The 24386-nt window shown below is 57.0% G+C and overlaps 1 protein-coding gene across 121 annotated transcripts in view, besides 5 other annotated features; it reads left to right on the top strand.

Annotated features, from left to right (window-relative positions):
* RAP1GAP (RAP1 GTPase activating protein) overlaps positions 1–24386 on the top strand; it is a 73137-nt gene that overhangs the window by 33031 nt on the left and 15720 nt on the right. For 106 of the 121 annotated variants that reach the window (NR_170911.1, NR_170915.1, NR_170909.1 and 103 more), the window contains 9 exons: positions 9930–10023; positions 16277–16312; positions 17255–17302; positions 18355–18393; positions 18836–19021; positions 22238–22341; positions 22621–22699; positions 23098–23151; positions 24218–24301. Coding sequence is in view for 94 of the 121 variants with exons in the window: in NM_001388286.1 (NP_001375215.1) it covers positions 9930–10023; positions 16277–16312; positions 17255–17302; positions 18355–18393; positions 18836–19021; positions 22238–22341; positions 22621–22699; positions 23098–23151; positions 24218–24301 (724 nt within the window). In the remaining 27 variants the exon portion in view is untranslated. Of the gene's footprint in view, positions 1–9929; positions 10024–16276; positions 17307–18354; positions 18394–18835; positions 19022–22237; positions 22342–22620; positions 22700–23097; positions 23188–24217; positions 24302–24386 lie in introns of all 121 variants that reach the window. The other 15 variants (NR_170916.1, NM_001388280.1, NM_001388279.1 and 12 more) reach the window with 8 other exon arrangements.
* Positions 985–1733: an enhancer, noted in NCBI's record as "H3K27ac-H3K4me1 hESC enhancer chr1:21961087-21961835 (GRCh37/hg19 assembly coordinates)". NCBI's record gives its function as "activates a minimal SCP1, AML or CMV promoter by ChIP-STARR-seq in primed H9 embryonic stem cells {active_cell/tissue: H9 hESC(primed)}" and the evidence as "EXISTENCE:reporter gene assay evidence [ECO:0000049][PMID:30033119]".
* Positions 1734–2482: an enhancer, noted in NCBI's record as "H3K4me1 hESC enhancer chr1:21960338-21961086 (GRCh37/hg19 assembly coordinates)". NCBI's record gives its function as "activates a minimal SCP1, AML or CMV promoter by ChIP-STARR-seq in naive H9 embryonic stem cells {active_cell/tissue: H9 hESC(naive)}" and the evidence as "EXISTENCE:reporter gene assay evidence [ECO:0000049][PMID:30033119]".
* Positions 3587–4555: an enhancer, noted in NCBI's record as "H3K27ac-H3K4me1 hESC enhancer chr1:21958265-21959233 (GRCh37/hg19 assembly coordinates)". NCBI's record gives its function as "activates a minimal SCP1, AML or CMV promoter by ChIP-STARR-seq in naive H9 embryonic stem cells {active_cell/tissue: H9 hESC(naive)}" and the evidence as "EXISTENCE:reporter gene assay evidence [ECO:0000049][PMID:30033119]".
* Positions 16844–17685: an enhancer, noted in NCBI's record as "H3K27ac-H3K4me1 hESC enhancer chr1:21945135-21945976 (GRCh37/hg19 assembly coordinates)". NCBI's record gives its function as "activates a minimal SCP1, AML or CMV promoter by ChIP-STARR-seq in naive H9 embryonic stem cells {active_cell/tissue: H9 hESC(naive)}" and the evidence as "EXISTENCE:reporter gene assay evidence [ECO:0000049][PMID:30033119]".
* Positions 22952–23244: a silencer, noted in NCBI's record as "fragment chr1:21939576-21939868 (GRCh37/hg19 assembly coordinates)". NCBI's record gives its function as "represses an EF-1alpha promoter that drives an FKBP-Casp9 reporter gene in an ReSE screen in HepG2 liver carcinoma cells {active_cell/tissue: HepG2}" and the evidence as "EXISTENCE:reporter gene assay evidence [ECO:0000049][PMID:32094911]".

The raw sequence follows: 24386 nt of genomic DNA, 5'->3' as shown, positions 1-24386 counted from the left end.
AGCACTGCTATCCCCATTTTATAGATGAGGAAGCTGAGGTTCATAGTGGTTAAGTAACTTGTCCAAGGTCACACAGCTGTTATGTGGCAGAGTTAGGATTCGCACTCAAGGATCTGGCTCCAGAGCCCACACTGACGCTACACTGCCTCTCTAGGCAGGAGCCTGTAATTTATTGAGCACCTACTGTGTCCTCAGCTCTAGGCTAGTCAGGTTGTCCATATAATACCTAATTTATTCCACACAACAACCCTGCAAAGTTGGTGTTACTCTCCCATTTTGTAGCTGAGGAAACTGAGGCTCAGAGAAGAGAAGCGACTTAGAAGAGTCTAAGGTCCTCTCCACTGGGAAAGCCCTCCTTCAGGGTTCTGCTTCCAACCAATCCTTGGTGAACTCAGTTTCCAGTTTCTCATCCTCCCATTCGTCCTCTGTAGGATGAGAGAGCCGGCCTGAGACCCAATTTTTAGTAGAGAAACTGAGGCTTGGAGAGGTTATGGTGACTTAATCCTGCACACACTGTGATCTGGGGGCAGAGCTAGGGCTTCCCCATGTCACCTTTGGTTAGGAGATGGTGACCTTGTCTATCCCCGTGGGGGTTTCGCCTTGGCCTGGGTGGTCACCCCGCCTGGGGAGTTGTGAGGGGCAGGGACTTCTGCTCACCAGACTGGCCTGGAGCCTATGAGGCAGCAACCCCAGCCCCAGCTAGGGCTGGTGCAGAGCGGGAGGAAAGGATTAAGCAAGGCCTCAGTGCTGGGGGACTCACTGTCTAGGCAGTGAAGCCAGAGGCTCCTCAGGAACAGTCCAGGCAGGTATCTTTGGGGCTCTGCTTTGGGACTGGGGAGGCCTGGTTCACCCCACTCTGATCCCAGCACCCAGCACCATTGTCCACTCCAGAGCAGACCTCAGGACATGTGTTCTGAATGAATGACTGAGCAGAGGAATGAAGGGCAGATGGGGGAGTGGGTAGATGACCGAGTGGGTGAGTGAGCGAAGGAATGCCTGGAGCTCAGAGAAGGGAGACCCCCTGGGCTGCGGAGGCTGGGGAGGGACAATGAGGTCAATGTAGGGAGTGAGGAGAGACAGAAAGCATAGGCGGCTGTAATACCATGTATGGGCTGACGGGTGCTGGGAAGGTCACCCTGGCCCAGACTTGCCCATCAGTGGGAGCTGTGTCCTGCGTGGACGTGGGCAGGGGGCAGAGCAGCTGGGGCTGAGCTTCGGGGTGGAAGCTTGGAAGTCACCATCTCCATCCAGGCTCCAGTTTTCTTCCAGGCAGAATGGAGATTAGCATTACTGCTCTGTGTTCCTCAGGAGGCTGTTGAGAGGGTTGATGGCAAAGGCAGTTTGTAAACTGGAAAGTGCCAGGCTAGGGAAGCAGATGATGTTGTTGCCCGGCAGGAAGAGGCCCTGCGGCCGGGTCATCTCAGAGTCACTCCTCCTCCTTACCCCAGTGCAGGGGAGGAGTCAGTCCACACTGAAGTCCTCGGTGGGGTGGGAAGGGTCAGGTTTTGGCCACAGTGGGGCTCAGGCCACCTGAGCAAGGGAGACAGATGCTGGATAGACAGCAGGTAAATGGGTGGCCTGGTTCCCAGATGCTGTGCCCTGGGCAGGGACCGGTCCCGTGACCACCTCTCTAGGCTGCCAACCTGTTATTTGTTCAGGAGGCCTCTGCCTGGCCCAGCTCCGGGATCCGGGTGTCTCGGCATGCAGCCAGCATGGGGCGAGGGTGGCGGCCCCATGTGCCACCTTCCTGCCCATCCCTCTGCCCAGCTTGGGGCCTGAGTCTCCCACCCACACCCCCAGGGGGACCCTGCCAGCTCTGTCACTTGGTAGCTGTTGAGGCCCTTGGCCCATCATAAACCTCACTAAGCCTCTGCCTCCTTATCTCTGAAATGGGTGAAGATAGCATCCTGAGGTCAGGGTTGTTGTCATAAGGATTGAATGACATCACAGTGCCCGCATGGCAAATAGTCCCCCTGCCGCTCCTCTACCCCATCGCCACGCTCCCTCTAGAGTCCTAGGAGAGGTCAACGGTGCCCAGGGAAAGGGGACACAGGAGCCTCCCGTGCCTGTGCCTGTCTGCTTAGGCTCCCAGTGGGCTGGGGAAGAGGGGGCCAGCCTCTCCAGACCTAGCTTTGGAAACCTGCTCAACTGGCTGCCCCGGCCACCTTCCCTGGCACTTTGGCAGGGACAGGGGCAAGCCAAGGGGAGGGCAGTGCCGGCTGGTTGAGCTCAGAAAACAATGGGCTTCTGTGGCCCCCCCCCCCCCCCGGGAGGGGGCAGTTCTGGGGCAGCCACTTGGTTCTGGTTTCAGGAGATTCGAGTCCCCTCAGACCCGATGCCCAGGGCTAGGAGACCCGGCTCTGGCAGCCCCCCAGCCCTCATCCAAAGGAGCCTCTCTCAGGGTTGCCCTCCACAGCCCTCTTCTCACTGGGAGGTCTGTGCCCTTGTCCTCATCCTCCACCCCACATGGGTGGTAGAACTTGGTAGAACCAGGTTGATCTCCTGGAAACCAGGAAGACCCCAGGGAACTGGACCCAGGCCTTCCCCTCCTGACTTCTGATGACCAGTGCTGGACTGGCCGGAACCCCTCAGGCCCCTGTTCCAGGCTGCTGCCCCCAAAAAATTCTTCTCTGCCCTGTATTCATTGGCTCCCTGAACCCCTCCCCCGCCCTTCCAGACCACTCCCTCTTTCCGTGTCCGGTCTCCCAGCCTGTGTGCAGTGGGTGGCTGTCCTCAGGGTGGGCTCCTCCTGCTCTTGCTCCAGGCACTGTCACCTGTCCAGATCCCCATTCCCCTGCTCCCGGTCCCAGCCTTCTTGCCTTGATGGTCCTGTACCACCTGCCCTGGCCACCAGAGTTTCACCTGGTTGAGTTGAATTTCAAAGCATCAATGGTTCACTAGGCAGAAAAGCAGGAGAAGGCACCCCCAGCAGAGGGGGGGTGCCTGTGAACAGTGTGGCTGGTTAGGAAAGCTGCCTGCAGCCTGGGGAGGTTAGGACAGAGCCAGGACAGGCGGCTGGGGCAGGACAGGAAAGGGGAGGTATGAGGTTGAGGCTGGAGGGAGTCAGCAGGGGCTGGACCCACTGGGAGACCACCATCCAGGGCAGCTATCTCCGGGGGGCCAAAGGGCCAAGCCCACCACCCAGGACAGCCCCACCACACTTCTGGTGCCCTGAAAAGGTTGGGCTCTCCAGGAGAGTGGCCAGTAATAATAATTACAAGCACTTTATAGCAACTCTATGAGGTGGGTACATTATCTCTCATTTTGCAGATGAGAGAAAAAGACAGGACCCTCTCACCACCCCTCCAGCTGGTTAACAGTTGAGAATCACCCTAGGAAGGCATCTGGCCACCTGTGCTTGGTCTCCCCCTCTGCCCAACCATTCCTGAGTCTGACCCTGATGTTTTGTTGGTCTGTTTCCATTGTATAGATGGGGTCTTGCTCTGTCGCCAGGGCTGGAATGCAGTGGTACCATCATGGCTCACTGTAGCCTGGAACTTCTGGCTCAAGTGATCCTCCCACCTCAGCCTCCTGAGTGCCTGAGACTATAGGTGTGAGCCACTGCAGTGGGCTGGGTTTTTAATTTTTTTGTAAAGATGAGGGCTCACTTTGCTGCCCAGGCTGGTCTCGAACCCCTGGCTTCAAGTGTTCCTCCCACCTCAGCCTACCAAAGTGCTGGGATTACAGACATGAACCACTGAGCCTGGGCTGACCCTGCTGTTTTGCAGAGTATGGAACTCTCTTGAGATCTTCCCACCCTGGACTGGTGGAAGGCCTGTGTTCTTATCCCTGATCTGCTGCTCACGGCCTTATTGGCTGACTTTGAGGTCGTGTTTTCACCTCTCCAAGCCTCAGTTTGCCCTGCTGGCAATTGGGGATCCTAGTGACTGCCTTATCTCCATTCCAGTTCCGGTGAGAGTCCCAGGAGTGAGCAGATAAAGAAGGCTTTTGAAAAGTACAAAGAACTGCACTCACGATGGTGCGATTATTATTGTTACCTCGATGCAGAGATAAGGGAGGGGGAGGAGGTGCAGTGACAGTTGCCAAGAAACCGGGGAGCTGTCAGCAGCGGCTTCCGGCCGGGCCCATCCCACTTAGGAGCTGGGCCCTTCCCCCACACCCTTGCTTCACCCTTTCCCTGGAAAAGATGGGTGCTCTCCCCGAGAGGGAGAGATAGCTGCCACACAGACACAGGGGCTGAAGGTGACCCCGGAATGTGCCTGGCCCAGACTCCAGGTTGGCTCCAGCTTTCCATGTGACCTTGGGCGGGTCACCTCCTCTCTGGCTGCTCCCATTTCATGTGTCAGAGGAGGCAGCGTGCAGGTGTCCAGGCCAGACAGAGCAGAGCCGGAGCTGGGCCTAGGGAAGGCGCTTGGCGGTGGCTGCAGGAGCCAGGGCCGTGATGGGAGGTCATGGGGCAGGAGGCCAGGTGACGGGACTGAGGGCCTGGGCTGAGGACAGTGGGATGCACGCTGTGGAAGGGACACTGGACTGGAGTCACATCTCAGCCCTGCCCTTTCCCATTGTGCGACCTGGGGCTTGTCACTGAACCTCTCTGAGCCTCAGTTTTCTCATCTGGAAAAAAGGTTTATATCTCATCTGGATTTCTTTTTTGTTTTTTGTTTTTGTTTTTGTTTTTTGAGACAGAGTTTTGCTCTTGTTGCCCAGGCTGGAGTGCAATGGCGCAATCTCGGCTCACTGCAACCTCCGCCTCCTGGGTTCAAGCGATTCTCCTGCCTCAGCCTCCCAAGTAGCTAGGATTACAGGCGCGTGGCACTACTCTCAGCTAATTTTTGTATTTTTAGCAGAGATGGGGTTTCGCCATGTAGGCCAGGTTGGTCACGAACTCCTGGCCTCAGGCGATCCACCCGCCTCAGCCTCCCAAAGTGCTGGGATTACAGGTGTGAGCCACCGTGCCCAGCCTCATCTGGATTTTTAATAAGTTGCTGTGGCTCTGGAATGAGACAATGCCAGTGTAAGCTCCAGGGTGCTGCACAGATGTGACCACGGTCATGGCAGGGGGAAGGAGGAGAGGGGAGAGCGCCCCATGTCCCGGCATGCTCTGGGCTCCCCGCAGCTGCTGCCGCCCAGGAGGAATGCAAAGCATTTTAAGCTGAGCCAGGCCAGGGGGTTGGATGGTTTTTGGAGACGTGGGGAAGGGATAGAGACCAGGGGGACATCCATGATGTGAACTGAATGGAGAAGACCAGGAGGAGACCAGGGTGGGATAGGAGAGAGAAGGGGAGGGACAGAGAGGTTCGGGTTCGTGAAGTGGGAGGAAACGACCACATTGTGGGTGGTCTGCAGAGGCCAGAGGAAGAAGGGGATTGGAGGGGTGCTGGGAAAGGTGGGGCAGAGATGGGCGAGCTGGTGAGGAAGGCTGAGCAGGAAAGGACGTGAAGCAGAGAAGGGCAGAGGGCTGGTGAGGAGGGAAGAGGCTTTCATTCATTGCTTCAAAAGTATTTATTGGGGCCAGGTGCAGTGGCTTATGCCTGTAATCCTAGTGCTTTGGGAGGCCAAGGTGGGAGGCTTATTTGAGGCCAGGAGTTCCAGACCAGCCTGGGCAACACAGCAAGACACCCATCTCAACAACAACAACAAAAAATTTATTTTTAATTAGCCGAGCACACACCTGTAGTCCCAGCTACTAGGAGGCCGAGGGGGAAGGATCACTTGAGCCCAGCAGTTCAAGGCTGCAGTGAGCCATGATCATGCCACTGCACTCCAGCTTGGGTGACAGAGCAAGACCCCATTTCTTAACAACAACAAAAGGTCAGGGGCAGTGGTTCATTCCTGTGATCGCAGCACTTTGGGAGGCTGAGGTGGGAGGATCTCTTGAGCCCGGAAGTTCCAGACCAGCCTGGGTAACATAGGGAGACCTCATCTCTACTAAAATTAGCTGGGCATGGTGGTGCCTGTAGTCCCAGCAACTTGGGAGGCTGAGGAGGGAGGATGGCTTGAGCCTAGGAGTTTAAGGCTGCAGTGAGCTTTGATCACGCCACTGCACACCAGCCTGGGCAGCAAGAGCAAGATCCTGTCTCAAAAAACAAAAAAAAAAAAGGGAAAAAGAAAAAAGTATTTATTGAGCAACTACTATTTACTAAGTGTCAGTGGTATAGTGTTAAGGGCACTGCAACCAGATGTTGGGGGAGGTCAAATCTTCAGACTTTCATTTACTGTGTGTGACCTTGGACAAGTTACTTAACCTCTCTGTGTCTTAGTTCCCTCCTTTGAAAAATGCAAATTAAATGAGTTAATACAATAAAGTAGAGCAGAGCCTGCACATAGTAAGCTCTGTATCAGCTGTGTCGGCCGTTGCTGTTGTTACTATTACCTTTCCGACTTGACTTGAGGTGCTGGATCGTGTTCCTGAGCTGGAAGTCGTAAGGCTCTGTGGGGAGGTCCACAGGATTGGACGTACATGTTATAAAGTTCAGATCTTGGGCTCTGAAGTCAACAAACCTGTGTCCAAATGCCTGGCCTGCCTCATTGCCTGTGTGAGCTTGGGCAAGTTAACGCACCTTTCTGAGCTTCGTGTGGAAAGCAGGAGGTTTCTGAACATCTGCCTCTTTGGGGAACTGTGAGGATTAAATTAGATTATGCAAGACGCCCGGCAGGACGTGGCTTTGTCATTCCTGTCCCTCTTCTACCCCTTCAGGTCTGGGGATGGATGGACAGGCAGTGCCCAGAGCCTCCAGTTTCCTTCTCTGTCCCCATCCTGGAGCCCCTCCCTTCCCCTGCCCCTTACGGCCTCAGCAGTGGCTTTTTAGGTGGAGTTGCCTTCGGGGGACAGGACTGTGGCCAGCCAGGAACTGGAGAGCCAAGGGCCCTGGGATGGGGTCCCAGGTGCAAGCCAGAGCACCCTGGCCTTCAGAGGCCGCTCTGGTTCTGCACCCACATGAGCAATCCTGAGTGAAATGGACACCTACACATGGGGAGACTGAGGCAGAGAGGGTTCTGGAAGGGGGTTTGTCAGGGACTGCTGCATGGCTATCATATGAGCCTAGGGGAAGACAGAAGGGCACCGCTGGACTAGCCTGATCACAAGCAACAGCCGCCACTGGGCAGCCACGGCCGCACCCAGCACTCCAGCTTTACCGGGCTTCTACCCCAGGACTTCCTGACCCCCAGGCAGCCTCTGCCCTCCACCCCACTGCAGGATCCCTACTTCCTCTAGGGCATGTACTTTAAATTCCAGCTCCATCCCCCATTCGCTAGGGGAAGTGGCTTCACCTCTCTGAGCTTCAGCTTCTCCATCTGTGAAAATGGAGAGAAATAACACCAACCTTCCTGCACAGTAGTTGGGGGAGAGTATATGCTTGACGCAGTCCCAGTCACATAGTAGGTCTCACTAAAGAGTCCCCATGGGAGCCTCAGTGGAATTGCCTGGAAGCCACCCTCCCTCCCTTCCTCCCTTCCCCCCTCCTTTTTTTTTTTCTGAGGTGGAGTCTCCCTCTGGAGCCCAGGCTGGAGTGCAGTGGTGTGATCTCAGCTCACTGCAAACTCTGCCTCCCAGGTTCAAGCAATTCTCCTGCCTCAGCCTCCCAAGTAGCTGGGGTTATAGGTGCCCACCACTGTGCCCAGCTAATTTTTGTATTTTTTTTATTTGAGATGGAGTCTCACTCTGTCGCCAGGCTGGAGTGCAGTGGCGCAATTTCAGCTCACTGCAACCTCCGCCTCCCGGGTTCAAGCGATTCTCCTGCCTCAGCCTCCCAAGTAGCTGGGACTATAGGCGTGCACCACCATGCCCAGTTAATTTTTGCATTTTTAGTAGAGACGGGGTTTCACCATGTTGGCCAGGATGTTCTCGGGATCTCTTGACCTCATGATCTGCCCACCTCGGCCTCCCAAAGTGCTGGGATTACAGGTGTGAGCCACCACGCCCAGCCTGTATTTTTTTTTTTTTTTTTTTTTTTTTTTTTTTTTAGTAGAGATGGGGTTTCACCATATTGGCCATGGTTGGCCAGGCTGGTCTTGAACTGCTGACCTCAGGTGATCTGCCCGCCTTGGCCTCCCAAAGTGCTGGGATTACAGGTGTGAGCCATCACGCCCAGCCTGCCGGTAACTATTTCTATGGACCTCTCTTTAGTCCCCACCCTCCCACTCCAGACTCTCCCCATGTCAGTGTACCCTGCAATATGCAGGAACCTGTGCGTAGGGATGTTCCTTTGCTCACAACCCTTCAGTGACTCCCAACCTTCATTCATTCATTCAGTCATTCAACAAATAGTGAAACTTGGGGAGCCAGAGTTTACCATGAACAAATGATGTGAAAGTTTTCATTGAGTGAATTCCCATGAGCTGCCCAGGCTCTGCGATGAATGTTTTTGGAAACTGAGGCTGAGAGAGGCTGTGTCACTAACCCAAGCTCACCTAGCCAGTCAGTGTCTGAGACTATCTCCCCCACACTGATGCCACAGGCTTGAAATGCCACTGCCACCATATCTGTCCTTTTGGGTCAAGCATTGCCCAGCGCAGACCCCTCTTGTAAGATGCCATCACTCCTGGGAGGTGGAGAGGCCTCCAGTGCATAAGTGGGGCTGTGGATGGTTCCTCCGGGCCATTTCTCCTGCTGGAGTAGCTGGGCTGAGTGGAATTAGAAGGGAGGCTCAGACTGGGCGCAGTGGCTCACACCTATAATCTCAGCACTTTGGGAGGCTGAGGCGGGCAGATCACCTGAGGTCGGGAGTTCGAGACCAGCCTGACCAACATGGAGAAACCCCGTCTCTACTAAAAATACAAAATTAGCCAGGCATGGTGGCGCATGCCTGCAATCCTAGCTATTCAGGAGGCTGAGGCAGGAGAATCGCTCGAACTCGGGAGACAGAGGTTGCAGTGAGCCGAGATCAAGCCATTTGCACGCCAGCCTGGGGAATAAGAGCGAAACTCTGTCATAAAAAAAAAAAAAAAAAAAAAAGAAGAAGGGAGGCTCACAGCTTTCTCAGTCTTCTTCCTGGGCCAGACTTTTTCGGGTCCTTCCCCTCTTGGGGTGTGGCAGCCCCGGCTCTGCCTGACTCAAGCCTGCTGTAGGCCACCAGCGATCATCTGAGTCACCCTCGAGGGACCAGCCTCTCTTGATGGGACCTGAGCAGAGGTGCAGCCACGTCAGGGTGGCCCTAGGCAGCAGCGGAAGCCAGGCCTGCTTGCCCAGCCCCAGGATCCCGGGAACCACTGGGCATTTCCTCTCCCTGCCCCAGAGGTGGCCTCGGCAGGCTTTTTAGGGTGATAGGAGCTGACTTCACCCTCGCCAGACCTGCTTTCTTTCCTCAGGGAAGGGTGTGGTGTGGGCAGAGAGTCCGGGCTTAGACTCAGGCAGGTCTCATGCAGATGCTAGCTTTGCTGCCGGCCAGCCGTGTGACCTCTGTGCACAGCTGGGTCCTGTCTGTAAAGTGGGAATACCAGTGTGGTGAGGAGGCCATGCCCTCGGGCCTAGAACGAGGGCTCAGCACAGGGCCTGGCATGTGGTAGGCCCAATGAGCGTCAGTTATGGTCACGGTCACTGTCATTCGTAATAGCGGTAGCCCTGGTAGCCCCTCAATGCCAAGGCGGCTACTCCCAGAGGCTCAGGGAGGGGTCCATTGTAGAGGCGGGGGCACCCTGCTTAGTCCAGAAAGCTCACCCTCCACAGCAACCCTCAGTGCCCCTGCCTCAGTCTACTCATCTTCAGAGTAGGTCACTGCTTGGCTGGAGGCCTAATGGAGAGCTTGGGGAGAGACCCTGTCCACGTCTCTGATCTCCGGGGAAGGAGAAGCCTGTGTGGTAGCCCTGCTAATGAAGCCCCTCCTCTCCCTCCTCTTGGGGAACCCATGACCCTCTCCTCCGTGAAGTCTATCCTCCCTCACATCCCCCAGCTCTGAGAGTGACTCTCCCAGAGTTCCCAAATTTCCTGGCTTGGGGCTCTCCCTGACCTCAGACTCTTTCTCTTCCAGGAGGAGCGATGGGCAGAACCAGCACTTCCCTCAGGCACTAGACCTGTCACGAGTGAACTTAGTTCCCTCCTATACTCCTTCACTCTACCCTAAGGTAAGTGTCCCCCTCCATACCTACGGCCCCTGGTCTGCCCCCTACCTCCGACACATGCCCAGGGCTGGGAAAGGCCCAAGAATGACTTTTGGGCAAAGGTAAAATGTTCAGGCAGATGCTGATGGGGTTTAGCTCCTAAGGGGTTGCCACTCCTGAGCCCGGGGTGAGGCTGGTGCAGTCACAAACGTTGAACCTAGGTCTGTAGACTGTGGCAGGGAGGGGCTTAGGGCGAATCTAAGCAAAACAGCTGGGAATAAACCAGCCCCCCAGCTATCTTCATCATCTCCACAATCAACGTCACCATCAGTCTCCTTATCTGTAAACCAGGTGCAATGAGAGGACCCACTTCACAGGGTCATTGTGAAGATTGCTGCAAAGTACAGACAGGGCGGCCCAGGCACAGCATCCGGCACAGAGCAAGAGCCCTGTCAACGAGCCTCTATCATTATCGTTAAAATCAAACGTTTGCCCAGTACCTGCTTCATGCCAAGCCTTGTGCTGGGTGCCAAGCGACCAGAAACCAATCTGATACAGATCCTGCTCTCAAGGAGCCACAGTCCAGTAAAGCAATAGATAACTGAACAATGTATGCAGGACATCAAATAGCAGAAATAACCTCTAATATTTATTGAGACTTACTGTGTACTAAGAGAGTACTTAATGCTTTATTTGCAGTATTTCATCTCATCCTTGGACTATGTGATAGCTACTATAATCAGTCCCATTTTGCAGATGAGAAAATTGAGGCTCAGAGAGGTTCAGTCACTTGCCCGAAGTCACTCAGGTTGGATGTGGTGGGGCCACGACCGGATGCAAGCTGTCTGACCAGAGGGCCTGGTGTTAGGGCCTCTCTGATGCAGGGGTGACAAGCTCTCACTTTTGCAGTACTTTTTGCAGTTTCTAAAGCACACCCACAGACATCATGCCACCTGGTCCTTTTAGTAAACCTTGGGTAGTAGGCATTATCTAGTTGAGGATGCAGGAGATCAGAGAAGTAAAGTGGTCTTCCCAAGGTCACACAGCCAGAAAATAGCAGAGGCAAAATCCACCAGGCTCCTCCCTGAGAGCTCTGGCCTGGAATAAAGGCCACGTACCTTGCCTAGGCTGGGAGGGCAGATGGCCAAGGAATGGTGTCCATATGTGGGGCCACCACCTTCATGGGGGTGCCACGTGGGGCTGCTGGGAGCAGCAGCAGGAGATTCCTGAGACTGACTCCTGTTTTCTCTGTCTGGGCAACAGCCCAAGACTGGGGCATGTGGATCCGGGGCTTGGCAGGAAGGGAGAGACTCAATGGCAGCCCTCACTTGACAGCTGGGTTCATGAATGAAGCTCCCAGTCCCTCTTCCCCTGAGCATCTCAGGAGGAGCCCTGGGTTCTCACCAAGGGCTGTATGCCCTCGGACCACAGCTTCCCCTCCCTGGGCCTCAGTCTTCCCATCAGGAGACGAGAGAGAGAGAGAGCAGCCCATAGCCCTGGGCCCTGCGTGCTAGACAGCCTGGGGTTGGCCTTCTCGGATTATTGAAAAGCTGCCTCCCCTCGGGCTTCCTGGCTTCCACCCAGTCTGGCTAGAAGCCTCCGTTTGTGCCAACACAGCTCAGACAGCGGGCTCTGAACCTTCCCTTCCCGACAGCCCACCCCCACCTCAGAATCAAGAGTCTGTGGACCATCCTCCTTTGACAGGAGAGGAAACCAGGGGCTAGAGAGACTGAATGATTCATCTGGGGTCTCCAGCAAGCCAGTGCTGGGCTGAGGGAACACAGGCCTGTGACATATTCTCCATTCCCCTCCCCTGGTGCCCCTAGCTCTGTGCACATTTATAACATGGATGGCATCCATCTGAAGGGCAGGTGACCTTCCTCTGCCAGTGGGCAAATCCCTGCCCGTCTCTGGGCCTCAGGTTCCTCATCTGTAAAACAGAGGTGACAGTTTCTTCTCTACCTGCCTTGCCAGCTTGCAATTGGGTGAAAGTACTTTGGAAAGTAGAAATTAGGAAGCTGAGCTCTTATCAGCGTCATTACATTCCCAGGGCTGGACAGGGCACCCAGAAGGGACATTCTCCTCCCTTCAGGCCCCACATTTGTACAGGCATCGAGCTACCCAGGACCCTCCTTCCCTCCTCCCTACAGGGGTTTCTCCACTCGGGGATTCAGAAACCTGCACACACGTACATACACAGCCTACCCACACCTACATATGGGGACAGAGTCACAGACACAAAACACACAGCCACAGCCACTGGTCTGTAAATATATTCAGAGACTTGCACATGCATGAGATACACATGTACAAACACAAATTCCCATACCAAGGCATTCCCATACACACAGAAAGACAGTATGCCCACATACATACAGCCACATCCGGTCGTGGAGTCTCACACACACGCACACATGGCTGCACGCATATGTGCACACACCTTCCATGCCACCTGGCACACAGCCATCTCCAGTGCTGTGAGCAGGTCTCGCCTCCCCCGGGGGCAGTGTGGGAATGGATGTTTCTCTGGCTGGATTTCGATGGGTGCCCGGAAGCATTCAGGCCTGGAAGTGGCTGCATAAATCAATATTTGCTGTTGTTAATTATTAAAACCAAAGCTACACCGTGTCTGGAACACCCATCTCCAGAGTTCCTGCTGGCTCTCCAGGCCCAAACCTGATTCAAGGCCAGGTCTAGGGGGAAAGGGAGGGCACAGTGCTTTCCTTCCAGGAGCCCTTAGTTCTGGGGCTGGAGGGTGGTGGGCAGCCACTGGCAGCTCTTTCAGGAAGCTGAACAGAGGTATGGCTCTGAGCTGGTGGGCAGCCCTGCCCCCGCAACATCCAAAGCAGCTGTGTCTGCTTGGCCACAGTTCAGGAAGCATTTGCTGTGTTCCCAACATCTGTCTGGAGGAAGTGGTAGCAAGGCCCTGTCCCTGTCCCTGCTGTACAGTGGCTATACCAGGCCAGGGACACACTGCAGAGCCAGCTGGAAGGGCCTACAGAGTCCTTATATTTTAAAGATGGGGAAACTGAGGTCCAGAGAGGAGGCAGGGACTCACTCAAGGCCACTCAGCAAGTTGTAGCTAGAATCCACATGTCCCAAAATCTACTTGGGTCCTTTCCTCCATACCACGGGCCTGGCAGCCCCTCCCTAGGTGCTGTGGCCATCTCCCCCAGGATCTGGGGCAGCTAGGGCGGGGGAAGGGACGGAGCAGGCCAGCCACTGTGAGGCATGGGAAGCAGGATGGAGGAGAGGAGGAGGAAAAGGGACAGACCCCAAAGAGTAGCACCAGGCCTTTCTCTGGATTCCACTTTGACTTCTTCCTGACTGTGTGGTCTCGGGCAAGCTATTTCACCTCTTGGAACCGGCTTCTCATCTGTATAATGGAGATGACATTTGTACCTCCTGGGCTGTGACGAGATTACGACACATGCGAAGGGCCCAGCATTAAGTAGGTGCTCAAGAAAAGCCCTCTGTCTGCAAGGTAACCCAACCCTGTCCTTGATGCCGAGGCGGGGTACCCAGAGCCTGGGAAGATGGAGAAAGTGAGGTGGGGGCGCGCTGGGGAGAACCGAGTGGGGGGCCCCCTCGGGGAGCCCGACGCACCCAAAGCTTCTAGCGCTCGGGCCGGAACGCGCAGGCGCGGTGTCCCGGGGCCGCGGGCCGGGCCGCCCGGGGGGCGTGGCTTCAGCGCCCCCGCCCCGCCCCGCCCCGCGCCGTGCCGCCCGTACCTGGCGCCCCGCCCCCTCCGGGCCCCGCCGTGGGGCGAGCCCATCGCAGGCAGCGCCGCCGCCGGGAGCCGGGAGCGCGGAGCTCAGCGCTGCGGGGCCCGGACCCGGGCGCGCGCGGGCCAGGAGCCGGCTGGGCCAGCTGAAGTGCCGCCCCGGCGGGGGCCGGGCCGGGCCGCGCTCAGGATGGCACAGCTGCGGCCCGCGGTGCCACCCGGCCGTCCGCGGAGGGGCTCGCTGCCCGCGGGGGCCAGCTGGCAGGTGAGGACCCGGGCGGGGCGGCATGGCGGAGGGACCCCGGGGCTGGGTCACCCCGACTGCTGGGGAGCCCGGCCGGCTCTGCCCCAGCCAGGGCGGGCGGACAAGGCTCCGTCATGGTGGGCGTGTGAGCTTCTGGGCTGACACTGGCCACGGGGCGCACCCCTACCCTGGGGTCCCGGACCCTGGGGCTCTTGCTGTGGCCTCCCGGGTGGCACTGTGGCTCTGGGCTGCAGCGGCAGGGTGTGTGTGGGTGCGTGCTACCGTCGGGACCACTTTACCCTGCCCCTGCCCCGTTTGGGGGGCTCTGAATGCTCCAGGGCCACTTTGTGGTGGTGCTTTCATGTGGGGCACCCCCCATCTGGACCCCATCTCTCAGAGCCCTCGCGTGTGTCAGGGCGTCTGCTGCTCCCTCTGAGGCTGTAGCTGTGGGTGTTGCTTGTTGCTGTGTGTACACTCTGGGTGACAGGACCATGTGTCAGTGTTTATGTGACTGATTCCCAATGCAACAAGGTGTATTAGAGTGTTCCTGGCTACGTTTGGTCACCCTGAGTGGGGTGTCTTAATGGGGGACATTAATGCACCCATCATCAGTGTGACTCTTTGGGGTCATGCCCAGCTGAGGTTGTGTGGCTGACCTGGGCACAGAAGCCAAAGTTGCTGTCATACAGTGTGTTGTGTTGACAGGCATGTTTGTCTGCCTGGACTTCAGGTGTGTGTCTGTGGTTTCTGCAGTAACTGCCTGCGGAATTGTCTCTTTCAAATGCAGAGGTGTTGGGTGTGACCATAGGTGACCATGGGTCAAGGTGTCCTATGGACTCCTGTGGTGGGTTTTACAAGGTGGGCCTTGCCTCTATGGGCAGGCCTCACAGTGTGCACATTTATATGGGCTTGTGACCCTTCCCAGAGCTCTGTGTGTGTGTGCGGGTGAGGGCTGTGTGAGGTTTAGACCGTGGCCCTCATCCTTGGGGATTAGCTACCCCTGCAGTTGCTGGATACCTTTTGAGTCTCATTTACTGTTGTTATGTGACCCTGCCGGGGCAGGCAGGGCTTGTAGCCATGAGTGGGGCTGCATCTGGGTCTCCCTGGACACACCTGCCCGCCTCTGTGGCTGCGTGTTGTCATGCCTCTTGTTCTCACACGAGAGTGGTTTGTGGTGTTACCATAGCTTTGTGTGCAGTTACTGGTGTGCAGACCTGCACAGGTGTGGGTTTGCATTTGTGTGTGTATCTCTCCTGGTACTTGGACCTGCATGTGTTTGAGTGGGTGTGCTCCTGTGTAACTCAGAACGCCAATGTGTATATTTGTGTGTTAGTATATAGCTCTAAGAATCACTGTGCACAGTCCCCATCATATGTGTTTGTGTGTGTTGTTTTCTTGGTACACGAAACATATACGTGGTGCAGTGGGACTTTAAATATTGGTGTGCAGGCTTCTGTGTGTGTGAGCAGGAGGGGAGGGAGAAAGATGGAGAGAGAGAGAGAGAGAGTGTGCGTGCTTCCTGGTGTACAACTCCATAGCACATGTGTCAGCAGGAGCCGCCTGAGCTGAGCCTTGGAGGGGCAGGGGGAGGGTCACCATCCTGGAGGCTCTGGGGGCTTCCCAGGCCCAGCCCCGAGCCGGGCCAGCCGGCAGGGATGCCGCCTTCCAGGAAGGCTCGCAGGGAGTTGGCGCTGGAGAGGCCGGGGCTGCCAAGCGCAGCTGGCAGACACCGGATTAACTCTGCGTGTGCCCTGGCTCACCCGGGAGAGGGTAGCTCGAGTGTGCGAGGGTTCAGGTGGCTCATGCAAGGTGCTGGGCCGCTGGGCATCCCAGTGTCCTCTTCCCTGAAGCACCCCCAGCTCACTCCCCTTGGAGAGGGGTGGGCTGTCTGAGCAGTGGGCTGTGGCCTGAGCCTGGTTGACTGAGCCTTGCCCCCTTCCGGGAGAGGTGGGGAGAAGCATAGACCCCTCCTGGGGATCCAGGATGGGCTCATCTCTGCAGCTGGGACTTGGGGACGATCTGTCCCTCCCCAAGGGTAGCAGCCCGTCAGGGAGCAGGACTGAGTGGGTGGGTGGCTCTGGCCCTGGGCCCTAGGCTCTGGGTTCACCTCACTTGGCAATCGGCCAGACCCTGTGGTTCTCCCACACAGAACCCCCTCCCACGATGCTCCCGTCACTCCCGCTTGCTACTCAGACAGGTGCCTCGGTCACTGATCAGAGCTGGTGGGACCCGGAGGGCCGGGGCGGGTGGAGACTCCTCTGGGGCTTGGCGGGATCAGCTGACCTCGCTCTCCCCTGTCTCTGTTGCAGAACACAGATCTATTTGAGATGATTGAGAAGATGCAGGTGAGGATGGCTCTGTGGCCTGTTCTGGGGAGCCACAGAGCTGGCTGGGCTGGGGCTGGGGGGCCCTTGCTGCATCTCCAGCCCTTCACCTCCCTGAGGACAGGCCACGCCAGTAGAAGATGGTGGCTATTGGTTGTCCAGGGTCCTCTGTCTGGAGGTCAGGGTAGAGGATGCCCAACCCCATCTCTGATGCCGGAGTCCATCTAGGCTCCCAGCTCCCATCCCTGTGTGGAACTGCAACAGGGCTGGGGTCAGTTCATCAACCCACCCCACAGACATACACTGCCTCTCACCCAGTGAGAGACACCGCAGGCTTTGTGGTGGGGGGCCCAGGTGGAATGGAACTGGAGGAGGGGACAGATGCTGGGGGCCTGTCAGCCAGAGACTGTGCTGCAGGAGTGGGAGGTATTACCCCTCCACCCTCCACCCCACAGCCCCGTCTGCGTTTCACATAGGTATGCATGGGAGGTGGGCCGGGGGTGCTGGGATGGGAGTGCCTTGAATACCCTCTGATCTTTGATGCCTCCTGTTTCTCTTTCTGTCTCTCTCTCCAATGCCTCCTATTTCTCTGTCTTTCTGTCTCGTCTCTGCCTCTCCCTCCCCCTCTCTCCCTCAACACATATCTGTGTAGATAACAGTCCCCCCACCCGCCAGCTCGCACACCGGCATGTGCACCTCCCCTGCCCCCACTCCCAGCGGCACGTGCGTTCCCGCAGAGTCCCCAGCCCTCCCTGAGGCTGCCAGCCTCCAGCCCCGGTCACTACCGGGACAGCCAGCCCTTCAGACAGGCCCAGGGCCCCCAGCCAGCTAGCACCCTGCCCTGGGAGTACCCCTACCTTCGCGGGCCGCCTCCTAGGGCTTTCCCCTTGCACGCCTTGGGGAGGGGAGGCAGCGCCTGGCGGCAGGCCTGGGAGGGTGTAACAGTGCTGCCTTCTCTTACAGGGAAGCAGGATGGATGAACAACGCTGCTCCTTCCCGCCGCCCCTCAAAGTAGGTGGGCCTGGCAGTCTGCCTCCCTCTCTAGGGGGTGGAGGGGGTCCGGGAAGTGCTGCCACCACTGCCCATCAAGCAGGAAATCCATCCCCTTTCAGCAAGTAGTCTTACAGTGTGCCAGGTGCGGGGGTAGGGGGGGAGGCACAGCTTCTAGCAGGGTAGACCCAGCCCCTGCCCTCTAGGAGTTCTGTGATGGGGAGAACCCCTCTCTTGCTAGAGGGCTGGGGCCTCTATTCTAGCTCCTCCTCTCGGTCTTCACTGCTGCAGACTCCCCCTGCCTCTCCAGGCGTCCCCACCCCAAACTCAAAGCCCTCCTCTCTCAAAGACAGCTGCTGCCAAATGTTTTCCCTGAAACCAGTGATGACCAGCAGTTGCAGGAAGACTCCAACTCAGGCCCTAGGAGACTTATGAGCTCCTGCTCCATAAGCTGCTGTCTGGATGGGGAGGGAGTGATAGGGAGGCAGGCCTGGGTGCCCCCCAGCCACTGGTGAGGAGACTGACCGGAGGCAGGGGACTCAGCGAGATGAGGGGGAGGCTCTTGTTTTTGACCCACTTTTCTTAGCATATGGTTCTTGGTGAGAGATCCCAGAGACCCTAGAAGACCAGGCCTGGTGGAGTGGGCCCAGGGCTACAGGGTGAGGGTTAGAGGAGGGTGCATGGGCAGTAAGCCTGATGCTCTCTTTGGGGCAGAGGCCCTCACACCAGCAGCGTCGGTGCCACCTGGGAGCCTGTGAGGAATGTACATTCTCAGACCCCGCCCAGACCGCTGCATCCAAAGCTCTAGGGTGGGGTGCAGCAAGCCCTCCAGGCAGTCCAGCGGTTTCTTCTGGGGAGGCAGTGAGCCCTCCTTTCTCCAGGCAAGGAGAGCCCCAGAAGATGCCAGCACTCAGCACGCTAAGCCTGCCTCAGCCCCTGCCCATCTGTAAGAGGTGATGAGGCCAGGGCCCCATCCGCACTCTCAGCCCTGAGGCTGGCCAAGCAGAGGCCAGCTCTGGGGGCACTGGAGGATGGACAGATGGAGAGACCCTTGCCCTGTTTGTGTTTTGCAGACAGAGGAGGACTACATTCCATACCCGAGCGTGCACGAGGTACTCAGCTAGAACCCCGCGCCCACCCTTACTCAAGCCCAGGAGGCACTTACACAGGGCTTCTGGATACCAGGTCCTCCTCCTTAGGAGCCTGACCTGCAGGCCTTGCTGCGGGCTGGAGACTTAATTTGCAGGCCCAAGGCCTCAGAGCCCATTTGAACCCTTAGGCCTTCTGAGCCAAATGTTCCAGCCTCCTGGGCCAAGGTCATGCTCCAGCTCTACCTGCCCCCACACCCCCTGTTAGAGACTTGGGTCTCGGCGCTGTCTGGGTCTGGCTGAGGGAAAGGGCTGGAGCAGAACCCTGGGGCCCACACAGGCTCTGGCCTGTCCCCTCATACCCCTTAGCCACGACAGAAGCGGCTCCAGGTCTGAGTTGGGAGGGTGTCCTGGGGCGCCCAGTGGGGTACAGTGTGGGGTGGCTCTCAGCTGAGTCCCTCTTCAGGTCTTGGGGCGAGAAGGACCCTTCCCCCTCATCCTGCTGCCCCAGTTTGGGGGCTACTGGATTGAGGGCACCAACCACGAAATCACCAGCATCCCCGAGACAGAGCCACTGCAGTCGCCCACAACCAAGGTGAAGCTCGAGTGCAACCCCACAGCCCGCATCTACCGGAAGCACTTTCTCGGCAAGGTGGGTGGCCGGCTGGTGCAGCGGGGCTGGCTGGGGTGGGTCACAGTTCAGCCCCATTCGAGGTGGGCCTGGGAGGGAGCAGAACCCATGGGCCAGGGCTGGGTGACAGTCCTAGAGCCCTGAGTGAATGTGCTCCCACCACACACACTCCCAGTCCCCAGGGAACATGCATGGCAGAATCACTTGTTCATTCAACATTGATTGCAAAGGCAGCATTATGGCATGGTGGTTCATGGCAGAGACTCTACCAGGGCTTGAATCCTGGCTCTGCCACCCACTACACAGGACATCGGGTAAATCGCTTAACTTCTCTGTGCCTCATTTCCTAATCTGTGAAAATGGTGGTTGGTGGTAATGATACCCACCTCCTGAGGTTGCTGTGAGGCTTTAGTGAGCTGATATCTGTAAGGTCTTTACAGTGGTGTCTGGGACAAAGTAAGTGCTCAGTCAGGGGTGGCAAATAATGAGCACTAGCTGTGTGCCTGGCCCTGTTCTAGGCACCAGGTATACAGCAGCCAACACAATAGACCCAGGCCCTCCCTTTGGGCAGCTTGGAGTTAGGAGAACAGTAATGTCATGGGTTGATGCAGCCCCTGCCCCACCACCAGCACAGAGCAGGGACCCTGCCCAGCAACAACTTGTCAGAGTGTTGTGGGAGCCAAGGGGAGGTCCCATGCCGGGAATGTGTGTGTCAGGTTGCAGGCCGGGTGCTGTCTCTTCGTCAGCATAGAGCCAAAATGGGGAAGTGTGTCGTGGGCTCTGGAGCCTCGTGGCATGTGTGGGAATCTTGGCTCTTCCATTAACTGTTTGTGTGACCTTGGGCAAGTTATTTAACTTTCCTCGTCGGTGAAAACAGGGATAATAAAAGTACACGCAAAGCTTCTAGAACCACACCTGGCACATGGTAAATACTCAGTTAATGTTAGCTGTTTTCATGTCTTCATAATTACTTGGTGATATCAGGATTATTCTGTTTTTGCAGAAGAGGAAACCGAAGCTCAGATAGGTAAATGATTTAGTCAAGGTCACACAATGACTAAGCCTGGGAATTGAACCAGCTTTGGCTGACCTTCCATTAAGGTGCATGGGAGAGATCATGCTCCTAGTCATTGTATGTGTGTGTGTGTGTGTGTGTGTGTGTGTGTGTGTGTGTGTGTGTGTGTGTGTGTTGGGAAGAGGGGGTGACTCCTTGGGGGTTCGGAAGATGTGTGACCTCAGTCTGGGCCTGGCCATTGGCCTAACTCTGGGAGACACCGGTGCTAACCAATGGAGTTAGGGGAGGATCCACTGTGACTGGGACTAAACCAGCAAGCCCAGGTTCAGGAGCCTTTGCCTGGGAACAAACCCAGAACCCAGCATGGAATTCCACTTCCCAGCTGAGCCCTAGAGGTGGAGCGAGACCTGCATCCTAGGCACCTGCTGTCCAGAGGTTCCCAGCTGGGTCTGGCAGGTGGTAGGATCTGAGGGTACTGTATATGCCAAACACATGGTTGGTACTCAGAAAAGTTTGTTGAAAGAGTGACAAGTGACAGATGAAGGTAGGAACAGATGAAGGTAGTGGACCTCGAGTGCAGCAGGCTCTGAAGAAGTGCAGACTGGAGGGTCAGAAGAGGCAGCTGGGCGCCCTGGCTTATACCTGTAATCCCAGCACTTTGGGAGGCCGAGGTGGGCAGATCACTTGAGGTCAGAAGTTCAAGACCAGCCTGAGCAACATGGCAGAACCCCATCTCTAACAAAAATACAAAAATTAGCCAGGTGTGGTGCTGGGCGCCTGTAATCCCAGCTACTCAGGAGGCTGAGGCAGGAGAATCGCTTGAACCTGGGAGGTGGAGATTGCAGTGAGCTGAGATGGTGCCACTGTACTCCAGCCTGGGCGACAGAGCAAGACTCCATCTCAAAAAAAAAAGAAGAGGCTTCATGTCCAGGATCAGATTAGCAGTAATGAGGGAGAAGCCCCAGGGCTGGCAGAATGGCAGGGCCCCTTCCTGACTCCAGGTGGGGTAATGGGGGAAGCAGCCAGGTGCTCAGGCACTGGGCCCTATCCTGGCAGAGAGGGGAGGTTAGGATGACTTTGGGCGTTGACTTCCTGGGACCCTGAGCCCGCTCTCCCACTGTGTCCCGGGGGCTCCTCTGGGCTTGGGGGTGTCCAAGGAACCTCCCCACTCTCTGGACTTCCCTGCCAGGGGCCTCCTTATCAAGTGCCTGCCACTCCCTCTCTGCTGGATGATGTCAAGCATTTGGGGGTTTCTGCCACTCTGTGCCCAGGCAGAGCTGGGGGACTCTGCCCCAGGTCCATTGAGAATGCCCCTGAGCTGCGGATTCGTGGGGCACATTCACTGGTCCCTGCCTCTATCTGCTCCTGGCCTCTGAGCACAGGTGTTCATGTTTGAACAGGATTTACTTCTAGGATGATTCCTGGGGCGGGTGTGGCCGGGCAGCCAGCTCCACTCCCAGAACTTGGGCTAGGGCTGGGGCTGAGGTTGGCAGGAGGAGCCCGGGGCCAGGCTGGGTGGTGTCTCCCTGAACTTCCAGCCCTCGGCTTTGGGACTTCCCCACCCGGAGGTGCCAGCCCTGGGCTCCTCTCTGGGGGTGCCATCCCTGCCGCAGCCACCCCTGATACTCCCCAGGGTGTCTTCCCAACCCTGTGCCCTCTCCTCCAGGTGAGACAGGAGGGTGGAAACCTGCCTGGCCAGCCACCCTGTGTGTTGTGAGATGTTTCGCTTCCTGTTTCTCATGGGCCCTGGCTTCAGGGGCCACAGAGTCACAGGTTGGGCAATCAGCTTTTGCTCATTGAGCACCTGCTGGGTGCCCAGCCCTGAGAAGGACCAGGGCTGAAGACAGGCATGCAGGTCCGAATATGGTCCAGACTCGATGAGCACCCAGAGATCCAGCGTTACTACCCACCTTCACTGAACTGAGCCAAGCACTTCATCCCTTTCAGTCCTGGCTGCCACCAAAGTACAGGGTTCCCTCCTATTTGGCAGACTAGGAAAGTGAGGCACAGAGCGGCCAAGTGACCTCCTCAGGCTGCCCAGCTGGTCAGTGGCAGAGTGGGGCTTTGAGTGCAGGTCTGTCTGATGTGGGGTCTGCTATCAGCCGTGACACCTGCTATCGGCGAAGGACCTGCATCTGGGAGTGGGTTGGCTTTCTGGCCTTGTTTCCAAAAGCCCCATGCTCAGCCTCACCCACTCCCCTGGCCCCCACCTCCCACTGCAGGAGCATTTCAATTACTACTCACTGGACGCTGCCCTCGGCCACCTTGTCTTCTCACTCAAGTACGATGTCATCGGGGACCAAGAGCACCTGCGGCTGCTGCTCAGGTGAGGGTGGTGGGGGAGTCCTGAGATGGCAGGAAGGGCTGAGGTCTTACAATCTCAGAGCCCATCTCATTTGACCCACTCTCTTCATCAAGGCCCATAGAGGGGCAGGGATTTGCTTGAGGTTGCACAGCAAGTTAGTACCCGAGTCAGCCTGACACCCATCATCACCTCTGGTCCTCGCTGTGGTCCACCCCCTTCTGGCCTTACTTTGTGGGGGGTGGGGTTCCCATTTTCCTGTCCTGCTGCCCAGGCCTTCATCGTGTGACTTTCTCTTCTCAGGACCAAGTGCCGGACATACCATGATGTCATCCCCATCTCCTGCCTCACCGAGTTCCCTAATGTTGTCCAGATGGCAAAGGTGAGGTCTCCGCTCCGCTGAGCTTCCCGGGCTGGCTCCGCAGATGGGCACCTGTGGGGCTTCAGCTTGCCTTGGCGCGTCCCCTTCAGCTGTAGGCCCTAGCCCTGGCCTGCCGCCCTATCCTGAGGCTGTCTCTCACTTGTTCCCATCGTGTCTTGGGCTGCCACGTGTTCTCCTAGGCCCCCGTCCCCTGCCTGTGTGCTTTTGGTTTTCTCTATAGCACCTTCAGATCTCAGGGGACCTCCGTTCCCTGAGCAACAGTGAACCCCGAGTCCTGCTTTAGCCTTGGCCATTCCCAGCATGGCTCCTCCCCAGACCTTGACCAGGGAGGCCCAGGCAGCCCCATCCTCTCCTCCCTGGCCCCACACCTCACACCCCTCCCTTATCTCCTCCTGCAGTTGGTGTGTGAAGACGTCAATGTGGATCGGTTCTATCCTGTGCTCTACCCCAAGGTATGGCTGGATCTGGGCACAGCTCACTGAGGGTGGGTGAGTAACTGGAAGACTGAGCATTTATTAAGCACCTTCTGTGTGCCAGATACTTTCCCAAGGTTCTCTCATTTAATCCTCACAATAACCCTGTGAAGTCCACAATTTGCAGAAGAGGAGCCACCGAAAGGGCCTGTGCCTTCCCCCAGGGTGCACAGCAGATAGGAGGGCCTGCGTTTAAGCCTCGGTTTGTCTGCCTTAGAGGCTGGCCTCACATCTGGAACCTCTGTGATGTTTGGGGACCCTCCTGAGAGCAAGCTGTGCCATAGTCCTCCCCTGGAATGGGTGTCTTTTCTACCGGCCTTGCCTTTTTATCCCAGAGGAGACCTATAGAGAGAGAATAGCCCTGGCACTTCCTGCTCGGATGCTGGTAGCTGGGCTCTAGGCACTGTGACAGTGTGGGGATAGGGGCACGGGCTTCTGCCTTGGATGAGCCAGGGGCACCTCCTGGAAGAGGACAGACAGGTAAACCCTTGGGTCCCTGACTGAATTCTGGAGCAGTGTGAGGTGGTGTGGTCCAGGAAAGGTATCCTGAAGGGGCTTCAGAAATCAGGGCCCCCCTCCTGCTTATGGGAGAGGAAACTGAGGCCTAAGGTGAGGAGGAGAACTTGCTCAATGCCCACAGCAAATTGGTGGGACGTGTCCTGTTCTGGGAGGATGATGTGGGTTTACAGAGGAGCCGAGGAGTGAGTTGGGAGTTAGAGTGGAGTAGGGGTGGGCTTGGCATGGCAGGACTGGGGCTCACAGCAAAACTCAGGAGCGATGAACTTAAGCTTTGGAATCCAACAGACCTGGGGTCAAATCCCAAGCCTGCATGTGCTTGCAAGCCATTGACCCTAGGTGAGTCACTTAAGGTCTCTGAACCTGAGTTTCAGAGGGGACAGCTGGACTGTCTCCCTCCCAGGCTTGTTCTGAGAATCACATGACGTGACGTGTGTAGAGCGCCTGGCTCAGTGCTTGGCACGGGGGAAGAGCACGTCGAATGGCAGCTTGCACACGCAGCCTCTTCACCCGGCGTCCTCTCCTGCAGGCTTCCCGGCTCATCGTCACCTTTGACGAGCATGTCATCAGCAATAACTTCAAGTTTGGCGTCATTTATCAGAAGCTTGGGCAGGTGTGCTCACCTCCTCCCTGCCGCCCCTCCCCACCTGGCCCCATATCTGGAGCCTCACACCTTTTCCAGGGCAGCACACCGGCCA

This window comes from Homo sapiens, chromosome 1 (genome assembly GCF_000001405.40).
Source record: "Homo sapiens chromosome 1, GRCh38.p14 Primary Assembly".
Lineage (NCBI taxonomy): Eukaryota > Metazoa > Chordata > Mammalia > Primates > Hominidae > Homo > Homo sapiens.
The sequence above is the reverse complement of the archived record's forward strand: the minus strand, read 5'-3'. Positions and strand labels throughout refer to the sequence as shown.